This window comes from Homo sapiens, chromosome 1 (genome assembly GCF_000001405.40).
Source record: "Homo sapiens chromosome 1, GRCh38.p14 Primary Assembly".
NCBI lineage: Eukaryota > Metazoa > Chordata > Mammalia > Primates > Hominidae > Homo > Homo sapiens.
Genome location: NC_000001.11, coordinates 178,649,455 through 178,659,222, shown reverse-complemented (window position 1 = coordinate 178,659,222; position 9,768 = coordinate 178,649,455). Strand labels below are relative to the sequence as shown.

At 42.6% G+C, this 9,768-nt stretch overlaps 1 annotated feature.

The window, feature by feature from the left end:
- Positions 5,464 to 6,663: an enhancer, noted in NCBI's record as "CDK7 strongly-dependent group 2 enhancer chr1:178621695-178622894 (GRCh37/hg19 assembly coordinates)". NCBI's record gives its function as "activates an origin of replication core promoter dependent on BRD2, BRD4, P300/CBP, MED14 and CDK7 cofactors, with strong dependence on CDK7, by STARR-seq in HCT116 cells {active_cell/tissue: HCT116}" and the evidence as "EXISTENCE:reporter gene assay evidence [ECO:0000049][PMID:35650434]".

The window sequence follows — 9,768 nt, the reverse complement described above, 5'->3', positions numbered from 1 at the left end:
ACAGTCTTTGCCCTCTTGGTGATTTTATTCTAGTATGGCAGACAGATAATCAGGTAGTAAGTAAATAAGTAGTATAACGGACTGAGACAAATGTTGTGAGAAAAAATTAAAAGGCAGGGTAAGGGCTAGTGCGTGACCATAGGAATAAGAGCTTTTTCCATATGGTGATAGGGAAAGGCCTCTTTGAGGAGGAGACACTTGTATTTGAGGAGAGACTTAAATTATGACAAGAAATCAACCATAAGCTGGCCGAGCGCGGCGGCTCACACCTGTAATCCCCACACTTTGGGAGGCCAAGGCAGGCGGATAACGTGAAGTCAGGAGTTCGAGACCAGCCTGGCCGACATGGTGAAACCCCATCTCTCCTAAAAATACAAAAATTAACTGGGCATGGTGGCAGGCACCTGTAATCCCAGCTACTCGGGAGTCTGAGGCAGGAGAATGGCTTGAACCAGGGAGGCGGAGGTTGCAGTGAGCTGAGATCGTGCCCTTGCACTCCAGCCTGGGTGGCTGAGTGAGAATCTGTCTCAAAAAAAAAAAAAAAAAAAAAAAAAAAAGAAAGAAAGAAAGAAAAGAAAAGAAAAGAAAAGAAAAAGAACGAAAAGAAAAGAAATCAACCATAAGCTAACCCAAGAGAAGAAAGGGAAAGGGAACAGGAAGTGAAGTCCCTGAGGCAGGAATGTTCTAGAAAGATGAGGGGTGCTCTAGGAGACCAATAAGAAGGCTAACATGGGCAGAGTGTAGTAGGAGATGAAGATGGATGGGAGGCAGAGGTGAGAACCTGCAGGGCTTTGAGGGAGAGAAGAATCAAGTGCAACTCCTTAGGCTGGGTGCGGTGGCTCATGCCTGTAATCCCAGAACTTTGGGAGGCCAAGGCAGGTGGATCACTTGAGGCCAGGAATTTGAGACCAGCCTGGCCATCATGGCAAAACCCCATCTCTACTAAAAATACAAAAATTAGCCGGGCAAAGTGGCACATGACAGTAATCCAGCTACTTGGGAGGCTGAGGCAGGAGAATTGCTTGAACCCAGGAGGCAGAGGTTGCAGTGAGCCGAGATTGTGCCACTACACTCCAGCCTGGGCAACAGAGTGAGACACTGTCTCAAAAACAAAACAAAGAGCAACTTCTTAATGTTAAGTCTAAGTGCCTGGATAGATGATGTTACCACGTCCTCATAGGGAAAGCTTGGGGAAGGAAGTGAATGCAGATTTGTATGGGGTTATTGAATCTGGAAACAAGAATTTCTTTTTGGACATGTGAAGTTTGAGAACCTTTGAGACATCCAAGTGTAGCTGTTGAGTAGACAGTGGGATATGTAAGAGTTTGAAGCTCAAGGAGCCATCAGGCTAGAGATACAACCTGGGAATTCACTTAAGCTTAGGGATGAGAATGTAAATTGAGAAGAGGCCAGAACCCCGGAGCCCACAGGCATTTAGAGGTTAGGAAGGAGGAGATAGAAGGAAACTCCAAACATGTGGCCTTTGAGGTGTCCCACATATTTGGACACATCCATGGTGTTGTGTGGCATGCCAATAGTTTCACGTGCGCCGGACTTACCATGAAAACCAAGGCTGCAAACTTCCTGAGACCACTCATATTTCTCCATGAGAGCAGGGCTAAAGGTCCAAAATGTTTTATTGGTGTGTAGTCTTGGCACAGTCCCTGTTTACCATGTATTTCTTAGAGCAAGGAGTGTACACTGCCAGGCTATTGAGGGAAGTGTGGCTTCTTCCTTTCTCAAGGACTATATCTTTGAGTTAGTTAAGAATTCTCAGACTTACTTTACTGGCAGTGAACTGATGCACAGAGAGATTAACTGATTTATGCCCAGCCCAAACTGAGTCAACAGCCAGCCCGAGGCCACACTGCAGTGTTTATTAAATTATGGACTGAGGATTGCCAGCATCTCAGCCACCTGGAGTGTTGCTTAAGAAAAAAAAAAAAAAAAAATAGGCCGGGCGCAGTGGCTCATGCCTATAATCCCAGCACTTTGGGAGGCCAAGGCGGGCGGATCATGAGGTCAGGAGATCCAGACCATCCTGGCTAAAATGGTGAAACCCCGTCTCTACTAAAAATACAAAAAAATTAGCCGGGCATGGTGGTGGACGCCTGTAGTCCCAGCTACTTGGGAGGCTGAGGCAGGAGAATGGCGTGAACCCAGGAGGCAGAGGTTGCAGTGAGCCGAGATCGTGCCACTGCACTCCAGGCTGGGCAACAGAGCGAGACTCCGTCTCAAAAAAAAAAAAAAAAAATGCTAACATATATGGGTTATCTATTAAGTGCTTTACAAATGGCAACTCTTAATCCTCAGAACAACTCCATGCAAGAGGCTTATCATCACCAATTTACAGAGGAGGAAATAGACATGAGAGAGTTCCACAGGTAGCAAAGGGGCAGATTAGTCTAGTTCCATGCTCCCAACCACAATGCCATACAGCTTGCTGAAACAGAATCTCTGGAAATGGGACACTGGAGTAGTCTGTATTTAGAAAAATTTCTGGGGGCATTTTTGTGTACTGTATATGAAATCTTGAGAACTGATGTTTCACTGGATCTCAAGTTTGTTCTTTGAAGCTCAGGAAAACCTTACTTGCTCTACTATTTTTTTTAACATCTCTAAGTATCCATGTTTAAGTAAATGTATTAGTTTCAGATTATTCTTGGTAGTATTTTGTTAAACACAGGTAACAACTTACTGCACAGTTGTCATTTCAAGAGGTAAAGCATATGATTGCACATTAAACCGGCTGGCATTGTCTAATATGTTGACAATAATTACCTAACAATTATTGACATTGTTGCATCCTACTGTCAAAAGGAATAATGTGTCTTTTTTTCCCTGTGTTCATGATTGGATACATTTGCCTACAGAGATCCATAAACAATAATGAAATAAATCAATCCTATGGCGAATGCAGTAGTATGCATGACTCCATGGTGGCAGTTTGCCTTGCTGGCTGAGAGGAGGTGGTACTCTGACACGTCTCAGCTCTGCACTCCTTAGCCGAGTAAAGATATGGCCTTTTGATGTATGGGATATCCCAGAGAGCTCAGACATTACTCTCTGCTGACCTTTGTGGATGGTCTCAAGAGCTTATGGGGTGAAAGAAATGAAGTCATAGGAGTATTTAAAAAGAAAGAAAGAAAGAAAATAAATAAGTCCAGTTCAGTTGAAAAATAGACACATGTTGAATATCCAAGGCCTTTAGATCACAAGAGATAACATTAAGCAAACTCCTTTCTGTTAACAAGAAATTGTGCTTTACTGTCACAGATCTCCACCCAGATTGCCCCTTGAATTTGCATTATTCACACAATGAGACTGGTTTCACCTGTTTGCAATTGTTTTAACTATTAGTCATCAGTTCAGAGGTTGCTTAAGCTTATTTCGCCTGCAGTTTATCTTATACACCTTTTATTTATTTATATATTTTTGAGACAGAGTCTCACTCTGTCGCCCAGGCTGGAGTGCTGTGGCACCATCTTGGGTCACTGTAACCTCCAGCTCCCAGGTTCAAGCAATTCTCCTGCCTCAGCCTCCCAAGTAGCTGGGATTATAGGTGTGTGCCACCATGCCTGGCTAATTTTTTTTTGTACTTTTTTAGTAGAGATGGGGTTTCACCACATTGGCTAGTCTGGTCTTGAGCTCCTGACCTCAGGTGATCCTCCCGCCTCAGCCTCCAAAAGTGCTGGGATAACAGGCATGAGCCACTGCACCCAGTCCTTATGCACATTTAAAAATTACACATTAGAAATCAACAAAGGTGACACGCCTGTTATATATTGTCAAAGGAGAAAAAATATCTAAAAACAATTTGGAAGAGAAGTGAGGCCATTACACCAGGGAGAACTAAAATCTTAGTCTTTTTTATGAAAAGAAAGAAAGATAAATAAATGGGGTGGAGGATGGGTTATCAGGTTTAGAAAAAAGAAAGAAAGAAAAATACAAGATGCCCAATTAAGTTTGAATTTCAGATAAACAACAAATAATTTCTTAGTTAAGTATGTCCCTTGCATGTCTGAGATATACTTATGGTGAAAAATTATTTACTATTTATCTGAAATTCAAATTTAAGTGAGTGTCCTGTATTCTCTCTGGCAACCCTGCTTAAGTAGTGCCTTTTTAATCTAAGTTTGAAAAAAATCCTTTTAGAAAACAGATGTCTTCAGGAAACTGGGTCATGGATTCAACAGCATAAATACTTGCTAATTATGTTGCACAGTGTCATGGGATTACATATTTATTAAATATAAATAAACTAGCAATAATAGTGACTGAAACTTACTTTGATTTGAAAACCCATCCATTTTATTTATCTTTTTTTTTTTTTTTTTTGAGACAGAGTTTTGCTCTGTCTCCCAGGCTGGGGTGCAGTGGCACGATCTCAGCTCACTGCAACCTCCACCTCCCAGACTCATGAGATTCTCCTGCCTCAGCCTCCGAGTAGCTGGGATTACAGGTGCCATCACCACACCTGGCTAATTTTTGTATTTTTAGTAGAGACGGGGTTTCACCATGTCGGCCAGGCTGGTCTTGAACTCCTGACCTCAGGTGATCCAACACTTGAGATAAACTGAGTGGGCTTCTGCTCCCTGCAACAAAAGGAGCCTGATTACTACAGATCTGCATCTTCAGGTAAATAAAATAACTCAGATTCTCAAGTTGGAATCTTTACCATCCTGATTTGAGAAGCAATAAAGAATCAAATCACCAGACAATATGTACTCGCAGTTATCAAATACTGCCTTTACAGAGCTATTAGTTGTCTTAGGGAAACAAGGCAAAAAAATCATTAAGTGGGTGAAATGTTTGCATTTCTCTTCACATCTGCAGCAAAGAGCTGACACTAGTTTAAAACCTACAGACTGTGGAACAAACTGCTTTCTGGTCTGAGTATTATGGGTTATTCAGCCATTAGCAACATTGCTTTTTCTTTTCTTTTTTTTTTAACTTTACAAGAAATTTAAATAAAACTTTCTTTACCCTGAGTGGATTTCACGTTTTGGTCAACCCTGGCCTTTTACTACCTACGTAGACCTCAAAGAGGGGCAATTAATTTCAAGTGTCTTAGGAGGAAATAAGTTCTCACAATTATGTTTTGAAAGTGTTTTTGAAATTATCCATGGTATATTAAGGGAGATTTATCTGCTGGCTGATGGAAATTTAAACCTAGCATTCAAGAGAGAGGTTAGGACTATAGGTATAGAGACTTGGAAGTCATTGGCATATAGGTGATAATTAAAGCTCCAGGTAATTAAAACAAGTTGGAAGGGGGATTGTGTACAGTGAAAAGACAAGAAGACAAAGGTTACTATCTAGGGCTTTTTCCCCAAATCCACCATCATCAGATTCACTTGTGGAACCTGTTGTTCTCAGGTCCTACCCTGGACCTATTGAACCTAGAAGATTGAGGCAAGGGTGACTCCCAGGAGTCTGCATTTTGAAAAAGCATCCTAGGTGATCCTTATGCAACCCCACAGAGCCAAGGCTTTATTTGCCTCAGTCAAAAAAAGAAACATCCTGGATGGTGGCTCCTGGATGGTGGCTGCTGTTGGTTAAAGCTACAACTGCACATCTATCAGTGGTTCCTGGCACACAGGACTCAAGAACTGCAACATTCTTGAGGCCAGTGGGACCTCCAAACATCAGAAATTAGTTAAAGATACGATACTTAAATGGGATTGGTCACAGCCTTGGTTCCTTGTCCCTGCACTGCATGCTTCCATTGCCCTACCGTGAACCACTTAGGGTATACGAGGAGCATTTGTGAATTGCCATAGTGGATTCTTCCGGGGATTCCTTGGTAGGGCTTTTTCCTTGACTGAGTCACAGCAGTGGGTTGAAGGTAGAGGATCCGAGGTGGTGGCCAACTCAGAGGCTATGTAAAGTGAAAGAACATGACTCAACAATGAGTGATACATAGTCACTAAGTGCCCTGTGCCCAGCTTGGCCTTTGTACCAAGGCCTCCTCTGTGCCCTCTGCCAGTAGGGTGAGGAAGCCATAATCATACAGGCCAGAACGCAAGCACTATGAGAGATTTGGGAGCACCAGCAGGCCATAGACTTCTGAACCCAAAGTTACCTTTCTGGAGGTTGGTGAAGGGGATTGCACTGACCATTGGCCATTGGGGCTGCCTGGAAGTTCCAGAATGTGGCCCCAGAAGCACTCCAGGGGGCTGGGGAGGTATGCCCAGAGGGTTTATTTGAAGAGGGCAAGCTGTGTGCCACCAGAAAGAATCACTCTTATGCCTAACAGCTGCAACTGGCCTGGCATAGACCAGGAGGCAATGAGTCGGGTCAAACCAGTTCTAATAGCGCTTGCCTCCAGTGGTGCTTGGCAGTCAATCCTATAAGATGCTTTGATTTTTTTAACTGGTGACTATTTTGTAAAGAACTATTTTTATAATATATGGTATTTTTGCTTAAGTAATTTCATCTTCAGCTCACGATGAATTTGAAGAAGTGTCTTTCAACAGAACTGGATGTTGCTGAGGAGTGACAGGTTGCTAACATGTAGGAGTGGGGTGGAGTTTCTTGGCAGGGTGCATGTTTCTGTAGGGGATTGATTATGGGTAGCTGTGAAGGTCCTAGAATTGCTATAAATGTATATGGGGTTATTTTGAAATAAAAATGCTTATAACTTGTCTGCATTGAACAACTGGGGTGGTTAAGTGCAAGTTTACATCACTGGGATAAAATGTATATGTTCTCTCCCTTTACCTTCCCAAGGGAGCAGATGTAAATCTTACCTGAATAGTAACTTGTACTTTCCTTTAGGAGGGAGGGGTAAGCAAGCCTTGGGCAGCTTTACTGTGAGCCTTGATAATAGCTATTTCATATATTGTGAGGGTCAGCTGCTTAAAATTGTTTTGCCTTCAGAGAAAAGCACCAAAGAGAGACAATAAAGCACAAAGCGGGTGTGTGTGTGCAAGCATGCTTACGAATGTGGCAGGCATAAATGTTTATGCTTATTTCTCCTTGTTATACATGCTCATTGTAAATATTTCCAAGATCATAGAAATATAAACCCATCTTCTACAGACAAGCAGGATTAACAGCTTAAATATTCTTGAAATTTTAGATACACAATCACATGGATGATCAAGAAACTGCTTTCCATAAAAGGTTAGGGAACATACAAATCCCTGGGAAAACACATTTCCTGTGGGAGGGATGAGATAAATGCTTGTAATAAGATGTATTAACCATCCTCAGAGACAGATCCAAACAGGCAAAAATCAACAGCAAACTGGGACGCGACTGCTGGGGTAGCTAGACGTCACCCTTGTACGCACACCAGAAGCCAAGAGATTTACCGAGCTCCCAGATGCAAGCACATCCTTCCTTTCTTTAAATCCGATTTTCTTGCCATCTGTTCCTTTACTCCAGCCTTGGCTGTAAACAAAGTTTATGCACAGCGATGCGTTGCGTTGCCAGGCAGCTCTCCTCACTCCTCTGCAGCAAAGTCAGTTCTGGAGTGAAAATCTGTGGGCTTCATTATTATCCATTTTCCCTAATAATATAAATTGTGAGAGAGTAGAAATTGGTCTTATAAATTGGATTTTCAGCTTCATTTGGGGAACATGGTATGACACATACTGTCTGGTTTTGAAAATTCTGTAAGGAAACATCTAAATGAGTAGGGAGGATTTAACTCATAGAAAAAGATTTCCTCAGCCCTCAAGAACAGTAAGGACATTGTGAAGGGGGCCGTCTCAAGGGCCACAGTAAATCGGTCAAGGAGAAACTGACACAGCAGCTGCCGTGCAAAGGAACTTGCTGCCTCCAAGGTTACAATTTGACATGGGGCTGGGGACGCAGTGGGTTGGAGGCAGGAGGCGTGGAAGATGACTTAGGGATGTGTATCTAGGAAGTGAGCTGGTGGCCCTGAGAATATACTAGAAGAGTCAACCATCTGGCAGCTGTGAGGAGGGATCAGCTGACCTTTGGCCTCAAGCTATATAATATTTATCATGCACTCTTCCTGAGAGAAGCCTGGAGCAGGACACATCTTTGAATGGATTCAGTTAATCCTTTTACTGTCCTATGAGTAATCAGAGAAGTAGAGAGGAGCAAACAGAAAAAAAAAATTCCACATTTAAAGGGGTCACTGCCATGGCAAAGCAGAAAATAACATTCACTCTGCTAAGCAACAACAGGAAAAGTCAACCTTGTGATCCTTGTCCACCGATTCTCAGAGTCCAGGCAGTGGCAGAAGTGGGCAGAATTCCCTCAGAGTGTGCATGCTGATCACTATAGGGCATTGTTCATTCAGTCCCACCATGGTGGGGGAAAGGGACTTGCCTGTTTGGGGGAACCCATGGTAACAGGACAAGCTTTTGCCATTGCAGTTGGGACTGATGACATATAGGGATGATTAAGCAAAGAGGTAAGTAAAATGAGGGTTACTTGAACACAAGCACTCTGAGACCCGACAGTCAATCTGAAAACCAATGCAACTACTAAGTGACCAATGGCAGGAGCATAGACATCGTGGATATGTTGGACAAAGGGAGGACTCAAATCCAAGGCAGGACAGAGCAGGACAGATCACAAGGTCAGGAGTTCGAGACCAGCCTGGCCAATATGGTAAAACCCCATCTCTACTAAAAAATACAAAAATTAGCTAGGCACGGTGGCACGCACCTGTAGTTCCAGCTACTTGGGAGGCTGAGGCAGAAGAATTGCTTGAACCTGGGAGGCAGAGGTTGCAGTGAGCTGAGATTGCGCCACTGCACTCCAGCCTGGGCGACAGAGTGAGACTCTGTTTCAAAAAAAAAAAAAAAAAAAAAAGAGCTCCCGATGGTCAAGTCTGGGCAATTTGAGTATCTGAATAAGTGATAGTTACTGATTTTTAACCCTTTGAATAAAATAGGAATCTGTGAATCTACATTGCTAAAAAATAAATGCATAAATGGAGACGAAAGGAAAGCTCTATCTGATAATAGAAGCCTTAAGGTATCTCCTCATAAAATACTTAGGGATGACTCAGTGGAGATACCCGTGAGACACCATCTTTACCAAATACATTGAGCATGATGAGAGTCACATTTCTCGCTGTCAGAAGGGAATTATAAATACTGAAAGGGGAATGGCTAGAATAAGCCCTGTGGTATTAGACTGGAAGAAGAGGAACCAGTGTGAACTCATAGCTTTATGTAGACATTGACACAGATGTTGACATAGGTACCAATGTGTGTAGGTGTTTATGTGGGTGTGCATATGCCCTTATCTGTGGTTTTGCTTTCCTCAATTTCATTTACCTGAAGTCAACCTTGGTCCAAAAATAATACATGGACAATTCTGGAAATAAACAATTCATGAGTTTTAAATTGTGCGCCGTCCTGCTCTGTCTTGCCTAGGATTTGAATCCTCCCTTTGTCCAACATATCCACGATGTCTATGCTCCTGCCATTAGTCACTTAGTAGCTGCATTGGTTTTCAGATTGACTGTCGGGTGTCACAGTGCTTGTGTTCAAGTAACCCTCATTTTACTTACTAATAGCCCCAAAGCACAAGAGTAGCAATGCTGGCAGTTCGGATATGCCAAAGAGAAGCTATAAAGTGCTTTTAAGTGAAAAGGTGAAAGTTCTCCTTAATAAGGAAAGAGAAAATTGTATGCTGAGATTGCTAAGATCCACAGTAAGAACGAATCTTCCATCTGTGAAATTGTGAAAAAGGAAAAAGAAACTGCTAGTTTTGCTATCACACCTCAAACTGCGAAAGTTACAGCCACATTGTTTAATTAACGATGGAGAAGGCATT